Here is an 18365-nt window from a genome sequence, read left to right as displayed (position 1 = left end):
GGGGCCCTCTCCAATCCTGATACTCTGTTTTTCTCTAACAGTTCTGGCCTCTACTCAGTCTTTCAAATTGAGACTTACTAAAAGACAGGTTAGTATAAATTCCAAGAAAATAACTCTTCCTCTGTTAGTGGCTTCAAGTCTTTTTTTTTCTTTTAAGAAGGGTTTTATATGATTATCTGGAAGCATTGGCTATTCTTTCTCGAAGCAAAGATGCTTTTTCGTATTTCTCTTATTTTTCTCTTATTTTTGACTTCCTGGTGAAGGAGAACAATATACAGATTCTAAAAGTTCCTAAGTGAGGCTGAGAGAAAGATAAAAGAACTTGAACTAGGCAAAACATGCCCCAATTTAGAAAACAGAATTTCCTTGGCATCCTTTGATCTTCCTAGGTTTTAGGTAAGCACTCAGATGATACTCCATTTATTCATCTCATTTATTCATTCACTGAGGTTTCAACAAACTTGCAGAGAACTCTACGATGTGTCAAAATACTATTTAAATATCTGTTTCTTTTTTTAAAGCCTTTTAGTAACTACTTAAATATAAAGTAATCAAGTTCAAGAACCATCTATTTCTCCAAGATCCCTTAAAGTGAAATGGATTTCTTTCAATCCATGAAAGTCATGACATTACTTTTTATTTTGTGTGTTTATTTCAATCCTTAATATAGAGCTATTCAGAAAAAAAATGACCATGAAATATTGATGGCTGGATAGACATATATATAAGTGAATAAATGAAAGAAGCAGAACTAAGTAGACCATAGGAACGTTCAGTGCTGCAATATATCACATATTGAATATTTATTGATATTTATCATTAGAAGATAAAATAGAGCCATATTTGGAAGGCAAGAAGAATATTAACTTAGCCTTGACATTTTCCAAAGGTGAAGAATTTATCTCACGCCTTTGAACATCTTACAATTTCTCAAAAAATAAAATCCTGTCTGTATCAAATTTAATCCTCCAAAATAAAATATTAATGAGTCAACCACTTGACTTTAAAGGAAAACTGGAAGTTTGGTAGGCTTTAAAATAAAGCAATCTGAGCAAAATAATTTCTTGGTTGTTCAGGACTGGAGATGGTTGGACAGATAGAGTCCAGATGTGCTTGTACCCTGTAGGCACTGCACAATCACCTGTGAGCACCATTTATGCATCCTCTGAGCCTAGGAAAGTAACCAGAGGGAACTCAGAGGCTGAGAAGATTTCCTAACCCCATCCCTACCAAACAGATTCCAGCACTACTCAGTAGGATTTATTTCAATGGTTTCTGTGAGGATAAGATTTTAAAATTGAATGCTAGATACAGTATATGAAAGCAGAAAAAAAACTAATTAATGACTGTGAATGTATCCACTGGTTACCATAACAAGTGATGAATGCGAAGTAGAAGAGGGGGGAAGAAGATTAATGTGGAAAGAAAACTGGGGCTGTGTTTTCTAGAAAAACTCATAAATGAGCAAAACCTAATAGGAATCCCAGGAGTCAAGCTATGGAAAAGGGATGAGATGGTAGTTTTAAGAAAATACTCTAATCTGTCTTTGTGCCAGAGACAAAACATTTTAAATATCTCTTGTTGCATAAGAAAGTACTCTAAAATTTACTGGGCTAAATGGGTTAAAACAACAATAATTTCTTTGTTGATAATTATGCAATTTGGGTTGAAATGATCTTTGCAATGGTGTCAGTTAAGGTGGTTCAACTCAGGCTGGAGGGTCTACTTCCACAATGGCTGATTCTCTTGGCTGACAAGTCCAATGCCAGTTGTCAGCCAGAAGCTCAGGGGCTGCCACACATGGCCTTTTCCTGCAGTTAAGTTTATCTGTCCTCTGGCCTTCCATGATTTGAGTCCCTTCCATATGGAAAATATATTTACTCTTTCCTGAGACCAATAAAACCTCATCTTATTAGAGCATTGCCTTAGGCTTGAAGTCCAGATTCTCATCACCTAGGTCATATCCAGGTGCAGATGAGATTCTTAAGGCCTAGCTTCTCTTGATCTGAAGATCTGTGAGCATGTGAGACAAGTTAATCTGTCCCTCATATCCACAACATGCAATTGTAAACCAGGGACAGGAAAATTACAATAAATTCTCCCATTCAAAAACAGAAAATATGAGAGGCACGTAGTAATCATTGGTCCAAAAAATTCTAAAATTTATCCAGGTATAAATAAATAGTTCCTCAACTAGGGCTCAATTCTAATGTCTGGAAATTTTTTTAGTGGTTTTTGGTTCTATTCTCTGATCTATCCTTCCTTTTCCATAATAATTGACTCATATTTGCAGATGGGTTGCTTTCTTAGTACTTCCTGTCAATAGGAAGTTAACATCCAAAGGCCCCTGTTTATTTTAACCTGTGTCTGTCCCTCTTAATCCAAATTGGTAGTGCTTCTGCTAATACAATTACCTTAAAGGCTTTGTAGGTTTCCAATGAATCTTTTGAAAGTCTACCCTATTAAAATAAAATACACAAAAGTCATAACAATACATCTATTTAAAAAAACCCTCTTGAATCTCAGCTGTAGAACAATGTCTTATGATTCTTAGAAGTCCTTTTTTTTCTTGCTGAGGAGTTCCACGAGTCATGCCTTTATGATCTTAGGAACCCTGTAGTCTAGTAGAGAAAATCTAGGAAGTATTGCCTAAAGTGTTTCAAAGAAATTAGCAAAGGGTTTTGAAACCTGACCTTACCCCAAATGCCACAACCAGATTTCATCTTTGTCCTCAGGCCATTTGTTACTGTGAGAATTATCGACAATTGGAATAGCTGAGAATGAGAAACAGGTTAATTTTCATTTATTTATATTTTTGAGACAGGGTCTCATTTTGTCACTTGGGTTAAAGTGCAAGGGTACGGCCATAGTTCACTGCAGCCTCACTCTTTGCTCAAGGGATCCTCCTACCTTGGCCTTCAGAGTAGCTGGGACTACAGGCATGCCACCATACCCCACTAATTTATTTTTTATTTTCTGTAGTGAGGGGAGTCTCTCTGTGTTGCCCAGGCTGGTCTCAAACTCCTGGCCTCAAGTAATCCTCCTACCTTGGCCTCTCAAAGTGCTGGGATTCAACGTGTGAACCACCACCCCTGGCCAAGAACCAGATTTATATTTGAATGAAGCAAATCCTGGCTTTTTCACATTGATTATTAATTTTGTTCAAAAACTAAAATTTCCTTTGTAATTTATTTTGTTCTTCCTGTCTTTGTCATAAATAGGTAAAGTCAAAATAGATAGCTTCAACGTTCTGCCCGGAAATCACAATACCCGAGCCACAAGGTCATTAAGTATCATTTCTATCATCAGCCTTACTGCAGATGGAAGCCTCACTCATTTTTCCACCAGCCCCATTCCCTCTAGCCACCAAGAACAATTTCCCAAATATTGTTCCAGTGTATAGTAAAAGTTTCTTTGAAGCCCTTCAGGCTTCAGGGCCCTTCAGCCCTTCAGGGACTGCCACCTAGTCCCCAAACCCACTAATTTCACATGATTCATTTACAGACACATTGTACTTGCAGATACAAATTTTGTTTTAACTTTCTAACACTGCCTTAAAAAGTCACCTCAAAAACTGAATGGCTTAAACAAAAACAGTTTATTATTTCTCATGATCATGGGTTGAGCTGGCAGTTTTTCTGCTTTACTTAGTGCTGACTGATGGCTAGCTGGTTTACAGTGGCCTCACCCGTAAGATAAATTTATGCTGTCTGGATGATGGGAGCCATCAGGCAGGGGCTGTCTGCCTGGGACCTGTTCTCCCTGCTGGCTTGGTTCTTCAATTCTCTGCTATGTGGCCTCTCCATGCACTTATCTTGAACTTTCTCAAACATAAGGGTCTCAAAGTAGTTAGATTTTTTTCATGTGCTGGCTGCTTTCTACTAGCACAAAAGTAAAAGCTACCAGACCATCTCAAAGCTCAGGTCCACAACTAGGACAGCATCATTTCTGCCTCATTCTATTGTTTAAAACAAGCCACCAGCCCATCCCATATTCGTGCAAAGGGCATTGGTACCCAGAGGATGTGATTCACAGGAAGCCAAATAAGTTAACAGCCTAGCACAATAAAAATCAATTACCTTACAATGAATTGCTTGAAAAGAAACTATTGGACAGCAGTTCTTGAAGTGTGGTTCCCAAACCAGCAGCATCAGCATAACTGTGAAACTTTTTTTTTTTTTTTTTTTTGAGACGGAGTCTCGCTCTTTCGCCCAGGCCGGTCCGGACTGCCGTGGAGCGATCTCGGCTCACTGCAAGCCCCGCCTCCCGGGTTCACGCCATTTTCCTCTCTCATCCTCCCCAGCAGCTGGGACTATAGGCGCCCGCCACCACGTCCGGCTAATTTTTTTTTCTGTATTTTTAGTGGAGACGGGGTTTCACCGTGTTAGCCAGGATGGTCTCGATCTCCTGACCTCATGATCCACCCGCCTCGGCCTCCCAAAGTGCTGGGAATACAGGCGTCAGCCACTGCGCCCGGCCATAACTGTGAAACTTTTTGCAAATACGAATCCTTGACCTGTACCCCATACCTACTCAATGAGAAACTCTGGGGACGGACCTACAAATCTGTGTTTGTCAAGCCTTCCAGGTGATTCTAATGTAGACGAAAGTCTGAGAATTCAAGGGCAAAGAAATGTGTTCAATTGAATTTGTGTCTTACGTGGAAAATGTTAAAGCATAGCCAACCAGTTAATTCTTATTATGAATTAGTTAACTCTTACTTTTAACATATCAGTTATAAAAAGGTTAATTTTGCTAACAATGTTCTATGACTATTGCTATAAACCATTCTTTATAATATAGGTAGTAAATAAATGTATTGGTCAAATTAATCAGCAATCCAAAAACCTAAATGAAATGTCTAAGAATCAATTAACAATTATCTTTCTTATCTATCTACATACATACCCACACACACAGACACACACGCACTCACACACCTCCTTTTTTTCTCTTTCTTTTGCTCTTTGGTTGTTGCTATTGTTGTTTTTATGGTCACTTTGATAGTATTTTATGTTATGTTTGAATGATAATTTTTTTTGTCATGAATAGTTGTTTATTTCCAGGAATCAACAATGCAGGTACGGTAAAGAAGGAAGCTAGCATACATGATAAATATAGCCAGGGCACGAACAATTTTTCAGAACAATTATTTTTTAAAACAACCTGGCAATGTATATTTAAGATGAAGATCCTGCTTCAGTGGGGAATTAGCAACTTGTCCAAGGACGTTTGGTAGAGAAAAGGTTTCACTTATATATTGATCCCTTTCTTTTCAGTCCACTGAGATTAGGCATCTACTCAGTAATTTCAGGCTGTTCTATAATCTTCCAAAGTATTCAGGTGTTTGCAAAATTAACCTCTCAAAATATTGCAACTGGAAATGGCCTATTGAACTCCATTAATTGATTAAATTCTACATGCCATTAGAGCAGCACTTGTTTGATTGCAATAAAAATGAATCATGGGAAGTGGTTTGTTAGGGAAGAGAAGGTAAAAATAGAAAGGATTCAAATATTATCAGCAGCATAAGAAACTTGTGGTGCTGATTTCTGTGTAAAAGTTCTAAAATCAAATGGTATTTGCAGCCTTCGACACTTGATTAGACTATCAATGACAGTAGTTGTGCAAATAAAATCCTGGAGCAGGTCACAGTTTATCTTACATTATTTCTCTTAATTCAGTAAATGTTATGGATCATTATGCATCACAGAATCCTCATATCATTCCTATGTTGTAGGCAGTATTATTATCCACATTTCACCAATGGGGGAAAAAACACCAAATTAGCCAAGTTGGGATTTAAACAGTCTGGCTACAAAGTTCATGCTTCTAGTCACCAGGCGAAACAGACTCTTTATACTGATCTCAGGTTCTCACTTTGAAAATATATGGGTATATGCCAATATGGTGATTTCTAAAGAAGTTAAAAGAATCTCTTACAGGTTAGACATCTGAAATTGTAGTAATGGCTACTGTCATAGAATAGATGATAGTCTTCTCTATTCACAGTTGCTTAATTGTAAAAGGTCTTGAACACATTTCATCTCATTTGACTCACTCAATTCTCAAAAGGAATTTATTCCAATTTTGTCACTATGAAAAAGAAAAATAGAAATAAAACAGGCTTAGAGAAGCAAAGTAATGTAGATAGTTCATGCAACTGGTAGATGCCTCAGCTGGAACAGTAAGGCCAGTATCCTGATGTCAAATCTTACACTTTTCCTGGAAACCCCATAAATTCTCAAAGATCAAGTAACAATCCACAAAGAAAGGGAAGCCTGCTCAGCCTCATTTATACATCTGAATAGCAAGATTTCTGAGAAGCAGAACCTTTAAAATGCAGTATGAATTTAGATCTTGCTTTATTTAAAATAAATTTCATTGTTATACTCCCAATACAACTTCTACTCTTGTATTTGATCTCCTTCTTAGACTGAGAGAGACAGGTCTGGAGTGAGAGCTAGAAAGCTGGGAAGTAACCCCATCCAGTTTTATGGGTATTCACAGACAAGCGTACATTGCTTAGCAAAGTGACCTATCCTAAGTACTTCCAGCAGACAATCGGTTGATAGTCATAACTTTAGTGACATAGCATAGCTTTTGTTTCTTTAGAATACATGGACTGGCACCTATAGAGAGGGGTCATTTGGTGGCTTTGCTTCTTGAATATGTCTCTATTTTTAATAAATACTTAAACCCTATGACCCCATTCTTATTCTGCCTCCCTTTAATATGCTTTCTGAGAAGGTGCTATGTGTAAGGGACTTTCAAGGAAAAATAAAATAGAAGGGAAGAAAAGAGTGCACGAAAATAAAGTTTTGAATATTTGGAGAGGGCACATAGCAAAAAGGAAAGCAAAAATCAGGAAGAAATGTGATAGAGGAGTACAAACTGGTAGGTGGTGTAGGAAAAAAGGAGAGGACTTCAAAAGATTCATATGAGATGGTGTCAAAGAAGGGGACACACCTAAGTCCCTATTCTCCTTTGACTCAATTATCTGCTTATTGGCACAACCAACTACAGTCAGCTTAAATCTTTGCTGAAACTAAATGGAGACTTAGCACCATTTGTTGTGTGAATCTGCGTCTGTAATTTCTGTGACCTGGGCATTCAGGGCAAAAATTGTTCCCATTTTTTTCCATTTCATGCATCGTTTCAGAGCTATGTAGTCTCTATGTAGAAGCTGTGGGTGCCGATTTAAATGAGTAGAAAAACAAGCATTGTAAAGCCTGCATTGCCAGCATCTGCTTCTCTCATTTACAACCAGAGAATGAAAGGTAACAAGAGCAACTCAATTTAACAACAGTGGATCCTGTGTTTGCATAAGTGTCCCGTTTTAACTAGGAGGCAACTGTGTATGATCCCTTCAGAGAATCAGGTTGCTGGCTGGCAGGCCTCCAGGAGCAGAAACACCTGCACAGTGGAGACGCACGATCCTCTGTGAAGGGTGCCAGCCATGGCCATTCCACATCACATGCTTAGCATCTGACTAAGGATGTCAGTTGTTTTCGAGGGCCAGTTGGTTACAGAAAATAACTACAGCTCTGTTGAGACCCTTTCTCTCTTTGCTTTTCTCTCTGATCTGACTAACCTCTTTCATTCTTTGCCCTATGTTATATGGCTTAGACCAAAGCCTGAGACATTTAACCAATTTATAAATATTAAATGCAGAAGGCATACTTTATCAGTTCCTGGAAACATCAAAGAAGCTGGAAGGGGAATGGAAATTGGATGGCACTTTGTGGAGGTCACTTTGCTGACAGTCAAGTATTCAAAGGTAGGGTTTTGCCCATGGTTTTAAACCATTGCCTTATATGGTAAGAGTCTTTTCTATCATTCTTCCGGCTCTTAGCACAAGCTTGGAAGAATGAATGAATGACAACTAACAAATGACTGAAAAAGAACTTAATGCTAATTTGTGTAAATGTGACTAGATCTGGACATTTATTTTGCTTTTATAATTAACTTACTTGGATAACTTTCAAAAAGTAGCTTATTCTTAATTACTCTCTGCCTTTATTTCTTCCTTTTTTCTTCATTCTTTCCTTCCTTCTTTCAGTTTTTCTTTTTGTCTTTCCTAAGAATCTGCCTTCTTATACTACATTAAAGAGAACGAAGGAAAGAAGAAGGGAATTCTTGGCCTGATAAAATTCTTTCCTTTTTCCTTCCTTCTTTTCTTTCTTCTCTTTGATGTAGTATAAGAAGGCAGATTCTTAGGTCATGAACCTGATTCTGCCTTTAAGAAGAGAGTTCTTACTTTTTGAAGGCATATTGGGCCACTGCATCCTAACAGACATGCATTTTTTTTTAAATGTGAATTTCCTTGCTAATGGCAATTTACTTTCTCTTCAATTTATTGAACTTCTAGAGAAAGAAGATAGCATCATGCTGATTCTTTGCTCTGGATTTAAACTGAAATTATAGCCACCAGAGATCATGAATAAATAATTCTCAAAAAGTTTTAGAGACTCTTCTAACTATAAACCAGCCTGAGATAAGGATCCAGACAGAACAATACCCATGAAGATTGCTAAAGCCAGCACCCATCGTTAAACATTAACTGGGTGGCAGTATAGCTGGCCAATCAGCTATGCATTCTCACATCCTCTATCAAACTGACCTTGAGTATGAGACAGGAAAATGGTGCTAGCTATTGTATGCCAGACTGAGTGAAATATATTTCTTTCTGGAAAATTCTCAATAGAGAAAAATTCATCAGATCTGGAAAACAGCTCAATTTACACACCCATTATCAATGTAATTTCAGGTTATTCTTCCAGTTGCAGGTGCTCTCAAAATAAAGTTTATAGTGCATTCAACCCAAAATGTTATTATTAAACTAATTAAGAAGAAAACTTCTAGGCTTAATAAATAAACCTGTCAGCCCATGTAACAGTGAAATTAGCCGACATTTTATGAAGAATACAATATTTAAAATTCAAAAGGATCCCTTTTATAGTTTTTGACTGATCTTTGGAAAGTATGACAAATTCATGTGACCCACAAGTTGCACTATCATCCCTCTTGGAAATACCTATTTCCATCATCACTGCCATATAACATCTACATTTTCCTCCATTTCCCATCCAATCACTTATTGACTTTTATTGATCTTATTTATTACAACACCATGTTTAATATCATAACATCATAAAACATATGATGAGTCAAAATGAGGGAAAAAATGCCTGAGCTTCCTTTTTTTTTTTTTTTTTTTTGAAACACTGGGTCCATTTTCCCTGTGAAAAAAAGAGGTTAGGAAGTTATGGTAGATCTTGTACTGAAACACAACTCATTATGTTAGTTTCCCAAGAATAGTTGGAAAATCTTACCAGCAACCTACACAACGTTACCTTCAACTATTTCCCACTTGGAGAGGGTATTAAAAGGTTTGTTGTATATGATAGAATAGCAAAGAAGTTTAGGTCATAAGGACTGAAATGACAGGAGAGTCATTGTTCCAAATCTCCTTGTCATCTCTCTGATCCAAAGCAAGATTTTATGTTACAGTTTTAAATATAAGATTAGTGCTAGGAGATATTTTTTAAACTCAGCAGCTTCTACATCACATGAATATTTTTCAAGGCACACTGGTTCAAGGGATATTTCATTAGAAACAGCAGCTACCAGAACAATCATGAATATTAGCTATATATTATTATTTTGATGTTTTAGCTATAAACAGTAAGAGGCAAAACCTTTAATTTCTATGGCATTTCCTATTCTGAATAAAATTTGGTAAACTTGGCATCTGGAATACTAATCAGAATATTTGCTATCCATGAAAACAGCAAGTCAGCCATGGAAATGCCTGTCTTATTAACTGTGAAAACTGAAACACAGAAGGAAAATATAATCTGTTTTAAATATATTCTAGCATGCTGAGAAGTGGAATGTATTTGGAAGGTCATAACTGGCATACCTACTTGGTGTTTTCTAGAATATGTTTTAGAATAAACGCAGTGCCAAGACGAGGCACCAAAAGAACCATTGGCCTGATACTACTGTTTGGAGGGTCTGGAAGAGAGATATTTAAACACAGTATTTTATATGTATTTCTAGGTGCTAAAGCAATATTTATTTTCTTAAAGAGGTTTTCTCCAAAACATATGCAAAAGGGTTACAAGTAAACCTCCTTACTTATATAAGTGTGTAAAATTTTCCACCCTTGAAGCCACAGCACATGTATTTCTAAAAAAGAAAAAATATATATATATATTAGCAAACCACTAACATATGTGCATACACTAGGAAAATTGGATTACTTTACTTGACTGAATGAAGAGATGCATTTATTTACTTCTGAACCCTTATTTGAATATAAACTTGTAAGAACTGATCACTTATATTTAGAATGAACAAAAACCTACAGAAAAGGGAGTGGATAGGACCACAGGCCAGGTCAGGTCCTCCTGCTGTTGTCTGCCTTAAGTGGGGTAATTTATTTTGATCTGTGGTCTTAGAGACGTGAAATTGCGTAGTGTATTCCTGCCCACTGACTGGCATGGGTATCTTTCTATTGTGAGTTATTTTTCTTTTATTAGGATAGAAACGTTGGTGATAATGAAATTTTAGCACAAGTTTTCATAAATATAAGAATGTGAGAAGGATGATAGCTCAGTGCATGCAATCTTTTTGGCTTATACATTTGAGTTTTCATTGACATAGAAATCATCTAGCAAAGATGACCTCAGGCTTTGAACTTTTATAATACTCTATAATACTATATTAATGTTAAGTATGAACTGCTACATACCTGTATGATTATTTAAGAGCTCCATTTTGTCCATCATAATCATTGAAATATCTTCAGAGCTTTATAATGACATAAACTTAAATTCCTCTGTGAAGGTCAGGAAACATGTGTTGTATTTCTACTTGGAAAATTCTCTTTTCTCTTTTTGTGATCATTACTTGTCAGTCTCTTTTTCGCTTTTCGTCCCTTCATCATTGTTATTAATAGACACTCTGCAAATCCATCCCACCATGCTCAATCCCTCCTGCCGTGGACAAATACTTGTTCAAGTAATTCATGGAAAAGTAGATGCAAGTGGATGCAAGCATTTCCCTCCCAAAGTTGTGTTTTAAAGGAGCTGAGAGCTTCCCATGTTAGGAGTAAAGCAATAATACCTTAATGATAGACAAAACGAACACAAGTGAGGAGTAAAAAATTTGCTGGAAAGGAGTTTTTAGAAAACTAAAACCTAAAATCATAGAGTAATTAAATCGAATTAGTATAGTCAGAGTTACATTATCAGAAGTAAGTCTGAGGCCGGGCTTGGTGGCACACACCTGAAAATCCAACACTTTGGGAGGCCAAGGTGGGAGGATCGCTTGAGCCCAGGATCAAAGGTGACAGTGAGTCATAATCACGCCACTGCATTCTAGCCTGGGCAAAAGAGCGAGACTCTAGCTCAGAAAAAAAAAAAAAAAAGGAAGGAAGTTTTAGTATATTTGGGCTGCCATAAGAGGGAATGGGTAGGTGGACATTTAGAAACCAAAGCAACATTTGACAAGGTATATGTTCAGAAAATCAGATTATAAGCTAGCTCTAGAAATTTGACTTGTTAAGGTGACAGGGCTAGTGTGGTTAGACCCAACTGAATTCTAGGTTTCCTAACTCCAATCCAGAACTTCCTTTTAAGATTTGCTGTTTTATGACCTCAGTTTTCTATCATATAGTAGATACCAATAAATATTTGACTAAATGAATCATTTTCACTATTCATACTCTTATTCTCCACATTATTCCAGATACGAGGATTTCTCTACACAATGAGTATCCTAAATCATGTATTAGAGGAGGCCAGCCTGTCTCAGTGATTACTTAGAGAGGAATATGTATACATTAATAGTTTTTAAACAGAGAACACTTACTTCACTCCAAACTGAACTGTACATAAGACAGGAATATATAAAACATACAAAAATAGAGCTTCTATAGTTCAAAATTAAATGTGCACAGGACATACACTCCCTTCTATTGGTACTTCCTACAGAACTGTTTTGGCCCAATTAAATCTATTTGTGAATAAAGGGCACTGAGGCTTAGGGGCAGTTCACCTAAATCCACATGGGAATTCCAAAGCTGGACTAGGAATTCATGCCCCCCTTACCTTGACCTAGTGTTTTTTCTGGTAATTTATACTGCTTGTATGCATACGTCTGGATTTAGCGCTCTTGCTTTTTCTTTCTGTTTGTTTACTTGTTTGCGTTCAGTTTTTTAGGTATTTTCAAGCTCTAACATTGATAAGCTACAGCAGTACACTTTCCCACTTAGTATTTTGACCAGTTTTTATTACTGTCTCTAAAATCTAGATGACGCTAATACTAACAAACTTTTGGTCAAATATAGAATAAAATAAATATATTTAGCTAATTTGATCAAAACTCCAAATGAACACGGTTTAATTAATTACAACAAACCATGGAGCCACAGTCAATTCTGAAAAGAGAAATCCCATAAAAGCAATTTACTTAAAATAGTTTATACTTGGTTTCATTGTTTTATAAGATTGAACAATGACAAAGTTATCTTTTTATAATTAACTAAAAGTTACAATAAGTTGGTGGTTTTCTAATGCAGGATCCACTGTAAAAAAAAAAAAAAAAGAAAGAAAAAAAGAAAAGAAAAAGAAAAAGTCAGGAGGCTGAGGCAGGAGAATCACTTGAAGCCGGTAGGCGGAGGCTGCAGGGAGCCGAGATCGCGCCACTGCACTCCAACCTGGGCAATAGAGCGAGACTCTGTCAAAAAAAAAAAAGGCACTCAGACATCTAAAGTGAATTTCAAAGAGAGAAAATCACAGACTTGGAAAACATGGAAGTTTTAAAACTATGGTAGTAACTAAGACAACATAAAGATCTGGTCTTTTGTTGCTGTTGTTTAAAAAAACACACTTTTTAATTTTTAAAACTAGCCTCCAAAACAGTTCATCTTCACATTTCCAAAATAAAGTTTTAACTAACATTCCCTCACTAAATGAATAAAAATGTAATACCCCAAATAGTGTTCAAATTACTGGAGATATAGATAGATAGATAGATAGATAGATAGATAGATAGATAGATAGATGATAGAGAGAGATACATGATAACAATATAAAAATCATATAATATATGTGTATATGTATGTTTGTGACAAACTAGTTACTTCAGATAGCAATATAGTAATGGTAATATAATTTCCAAAATAACAATTAATACCTATAAAATAAGCTATAAGATATTAAGCACTTTTGCTCAATCATTTAATTTCAAAACAATCCATGAAGGAGTATGATAGAGTATATATACTTTGTAGGTATTTTATATGTATTTTATTTTTTTGACTGAAGAGTATTGGTGCATATGAAGAGTAAATAATATGAATTATTCATTGTGAAGACCTGCCCAAAAGCCTTTTAATGTTGTTGTTGTCACTAGTGTGTGCAAGTATGCATGTGTGTGCGTAGGAAAAATTACAGAAAATCCAGAGACACGGAAGACCAGATTCTCCTAAAATCCCACTCCACTAACATCACCACTGCTATGATTTTATTATATTAAATTCCATCTCTTTCTATATGCATAGAATTATTACAAATAAATAACTGTCCTAATCAGGTTAGATGGTATCATTGCTTTCTTCTAACAGAATCTAGAGGCTCAAAGAGAATGAGGACCTTGCTCGAGGGCACATCATTCCTTGGTGGTCTCCCTGGTCCAGTTTCTATTCACATGCCACCCTCCCTCATCCATCCAGGGCCAAGTGATTGCAGAGGTACAGGTCCAAGGTTGAGAGTCAGGCATAGAAACACATATGTTAACCTAGACAGCAAGAAAACATTGTTAGGATTAGATTTCCTCCCATCCATTAGATATGTCTTTAGTAAATACCTGAAAGAGATGGAACTCAGCTCCCACATGCTTGGAAATGGAGCGTATCTGTCTGTGCTTTTGCCCAACAGTGTGAGCGTAGCCAGGCACAACCTTGAGCCATTACTTCCAAAGAGAGCAACACGAAGCCTGCCCGCCCATCGCGGAGGCAACATTTTTAAAAAGGCTACTGCTGTGTAAACTGGATATGAGAGCAGGAACATTTTTATTTTTGAGGAAAATAGCTCAGTAAACATTCCATCACATTTCACAGCAAATGCGTTCCACCCACTGACACAAAACCCCTGGCCTACTCTCCTCTGGGTTACTTCTAGCTTTTCAAACATCCGGTAAAAATAAAAGCAAACATAGCTCCCTTTTTTAATTCCTTCTTTCTTTGAAATTGCCATATGGCAAGGGTTTCTCTTAATATCTCTTAATAAAACCCAGTAATATTTAACAGAAAAGCAGCCACTCCCACTGCAGGAAAAGGTAAAACTCAATCCACTAAATAATGTGTTCAAGCCATGAGGAAAAAAAATGAAGCTTATTGCTAGAAAGTCAGGCAAGTCCCTTTGTATTCATTCCAACAGCTGCTTAGCATGAATGGAGGCCAAGTAAGGAAAATTCAGGTAAATATTCCAGTTTAATACATTTACCCAGGGGTCAAAAAGACACTGTGCTTTTTGAGGGTGTGGTGTTATACTTATCCTTAAAAGGCAATTTTTAATATAAAAAGTGAAGCATTTTGATTTACAGACCTTAATGTATTTCAGACACACACAAAATGTGACAACCTCATGCTTGTGTGACGCTGGAGAACGCACGGGTAAGTTAAGATCCTTGCCTAGGTCCCAGCTGTCCAGAGAAATCATCAAAATCAGAGGCCTAGCCCCATTTGCTAACACTTTCACCCTCGCCTTCCTAAACCTGTGAGTCCACTTGCAGAGCTGAAATTCTAAGTAGCTAAATAATATGTTTCCTAGTGCAGTGACACTACATCGATTGTACTGATCCTCCATAGCTATTTACCCTTCCCTACTTAAGAATCATCCTATTGGCCTATTTAGGAATTGGATTTTGGAGACACATGAAGTGATGTATAAATGTAACAACAGATCTCCTCCTCCGCCGCCCCAATACATACAATTTTAGACAACCAAAGCAATCATTACCTGAGAAGGTCTTGTTTCTGGCAGAAAAAAAAATCAATTTAATTATACAAGATGTGTCTTACGTTTTAATTGTTCAGTATAGTGCCTCATTGACAGTGTCTCCCTGAATCTCAGTTTATGAGCTTTTACATTACTCAGATAACTTGCTGAGGAGAAAGAAAAAAGTTCATCATTTTCCTTAAAAGAACTGAAGAGGCATTGTGCCCAAGTCATTAGAACCCTTGACTGTGCTCATAATGATGAATGCATCATTTTTCTTGCATGAAACTTTGGTAACAAATTGCACAGCCAAGTCTTTTCCAGCACTGTTATTCTGTTTTAAAAAACACTGACATTTTCTTAAACAGACATAATTTACAATTTTAAGGAGCACAACAGTGCCTTGGTGTTTGAGGGCCAGAAAGCAAACAACACTCCTTTCAGTTAGATGTTTTAAAGGGGAGTCTCGTGCTTAGTGAGTTCACTACAGCTTAAGGCCAGAGAGACAGAGCAGAGGGAGAACAGAGCACCAGTGCAGCATGTGAAGGTCATGACTAACTGGTCACATTACATTAAGAGTCAGAGCAAGATGGAGGAGCTAGAGGAATGAGAGGGGTGAGCAGGACAGCCGAGCCATGCTCAGCACAATACACGGTGAGGCACCACAGTGGTGCTATTCCCTTGCCCAGATAGAAGTGGCCGCAGATTTCTTTCTATCAGACCTATGAGGGAAGCAGCAGTCTTGTGGATGCTTCTGTACTTAGAATGCCCTCTCCAGCAGGCCCTTCTGTAAATTTCACACAAAGGGAGCCTCGCCAGTGTCCATGTGCCTGGATCAATATCTGCAGCAATGTTCGATTTCCAGTGGGGTCAGCTCAGCCCAAGTAGATAAATAGAAGTCTGTGTAAGATGCTGCAGGTCTGTTGTTTGGATGAGACTGTAGAAGTGAAGGTTATGTGTAAAGAATAAAAATACCAAGGTTTTATTTCTATAACCACCTATGTGTTTCAGTGCCCTTGGTAAAGTTTCTCTTCCTGTATTTCCTAATAATCCTTAATTAAATAGCAGTGTCTCATGGCTGGGGAAAATTATTTTTGTGAGGGAATAAGCATAAGCTTGTGTGTGTGTGTGTGCATTTGTGTGTGTCCTTTTATATACTGAAACTATACATGTGTGTATTATGTATTTATAGATGTATATACAGATACATGTACATATGTATTTATGTGTATATATATACACATACCTTATACATCTCATTTTCCTATGAGAACATTTTTGCCTTTTTTTGATGTATATATGTTAACTAACCTAAGATACCTTCACCAGCAGAAGTTCAGAATCCAGATGATGTTACTACCATATGAAATGTGACCATTCGCCTGTTCTACAAACATCATTTAAGCTCCTACCCTGTTCCACGCATAACCCAAAACTCATTACACAGATTCCTTCCATGAAATCTCTCATAAATTTTAAAACGCATTAGACCCACAAACACAGTTACAAACCAGTATGATGAATGCAACCAAAATGCAAATGAGGTGAACAAAGCATAGTGTAGAATGATGAAGGGAGTGATTCCCTTTATTGGACAAGAGTCAGTGAAGAATCCTCCTTGGGGAGAGGCATCTCTTCTGAGTTTGAAAAGATGGGGGAAAACAGTTTACCAGGCAAGCAAGGGGAGGAAAATGACTCTAGGCAGAGGAATGGGCAACTGCAAAGGCACAGAGGACTACAACACTGTGGTGTGTGCCTTGTTCAGGTAGAAGGTAACAGAGAAAGGCATCAAGGGGTGGGAAGCCAGGCTAATAAGGAGACTGAAAATAACCCGTCACAATGTGTCCCGTGCTATCAGTTAAGCAGCTTGGCTTTTATTCTAGAAAGCATTACCCAATGTGTCTTTGTGGAAACTAGTACTACAGATATTGAATAGGTAAAACTTGAAAAAGAAATTCCATGCTTAAATACATTAAGAGAATTCTGGATTGAACTAGTTTATTCAGGCCATCACTGCTCCAAATCAATGCCTTTGAAGCCTCCAGGAGGAGGTTTCACTGCCCAAGTTTTCTAAATCATATTTTGCCATTTATTAACTTGCTGAAGTTTTTCTCTGGTTCCTGTCCCTTAGGAGATACTGATGTAAGTACTGGATAGGCAGTGAAATATTTTAAACAGTGGAGCAAGAGAGGCCTTATCAGTCTCCTATTTTTACATTTTTGACATCATTTTCTAATGACAGTAAATGGACTAATTAAGAGGTTATTAGTAATTAAGAATAAGGTCCTTATCTAAGGCAGAGGGAATGGAAGCAGAAAGGAAAGAATAATTTCAGAAAATAATAGGTTGTAGAATCGTACTTTCCCAGATCACTGGATGATATATATTTTCTTAGCTGTGAATTTTGGATCAAATGAGTAGCAACTTAGAAAACCATAATGTGTCCCTAACGTATCTCAAAGATCAGTGATAAAATCTACTTATTGTTAGTTTGTGCTTTGTCAACTTTTCTCCTGGAGAAATTGGATTTTTGGCCAAGAAAGTCTATCCCATATTATTTCTCCAAAAGCAACTCATGAAGTAGCTAGAAGGTAGATGAAAGTCAGCCCCAGTCATGGTGGAAAGACCAGTGAGCCTAGACTAGAGGAAATTCTGGAGCTGAGTCCAGTCCTGACTTATTCCAGAATAAGTCCAGAACTGAGTTCACAGAATAAGTCAAGGTCACTCTACTCAAGTGGTTAGCTAAGAAGCCTTCTACTGCAGATACAGAGTGATCAAAAATTACCAAATTCATAGTGGAGTGAGTTAGGGGTTGGGGGTGGTGGTGGAGGGCTCAATGTAAAACCAGAAGTAACCATATTGTATACCAAAGAAGGCAAATGGGAGATCAGGCCCTCTTCCCTGGGGCAAGAGAGGAAAGGCAGAAAAGTGATTGTATATTTCCTGCACGACATCCTTGAAAAAGTGTGAATCTTCTGTCAGTTCATATAAATTCCAAATACCTCCCTGCATCTTTAAGGTTGGTAAGATTCCTCAAATTACCAAGAACAAGGGACGATCTTTGATTGTAAACTTGGAGGAGGCTGTGGGGATAGAGGTGGAAAAAGTAAAATCTACCAATAAACTTTCAGGAATGCCCATGAAACGAACCCAAGCAAATGATGCTTCTTTCTGTAAACACTGCACACTACATCAAGCCTTTTATTTCTATTTTAACCAAAAATATGGCATAAAACATTCAGAGATCTTAAAGGGAGCTTTCATAAATACATTGCTGTTTGATGTGAGCCGAGTGTCAGTCAGAAGCCCTGGTCTAGGAGGTACATGGCCCACATCAAGTATTTTGCTATTTTC

General features: G+C 37.2%; 1 long non-coding RNA gene across 2 annotated transcripts in view; it reads left to right on the top strand.

Annotated features, from left to right (window-relative positions):
- Positions 1-7576: 7576 nt before the first annotated feature.
- The window catches only part of LINC03005 (long intergenic non-protein coding RNA 3005), a 74415-nt gene continuing 63626 nt past the window's right edge, over positions 7577-18365 (top strand). For both annotated transcript variants that reach the window (NR_134614.1, NR_134613.1), the window contains exon 1: positions 7577-7780. This is a non-coding gene — a long non-coding RNA (long intergenic non-protein coding RNA 3005). The remainder of the gene's footprint in view (positions 7781-18365) is intronic.

The sequence above is a fragment of the Homo sapiens genome, chromosome 6 (assembly GCF_000001405.40).
Source record: "Homo sapiens chromosome 6, GRCh38.p14 Primary Assembly".
In the NCBI taxonomy this organism is placed as follows: domain Eukaryota; kingdom Metazoa; phylum Chordata; class Mammalia; order Primates; family Hominidae; genus Homo; species Homo sapiens.
This window is presented reverse-complemented; position numbering and strand designations above follow the sequence as displayed.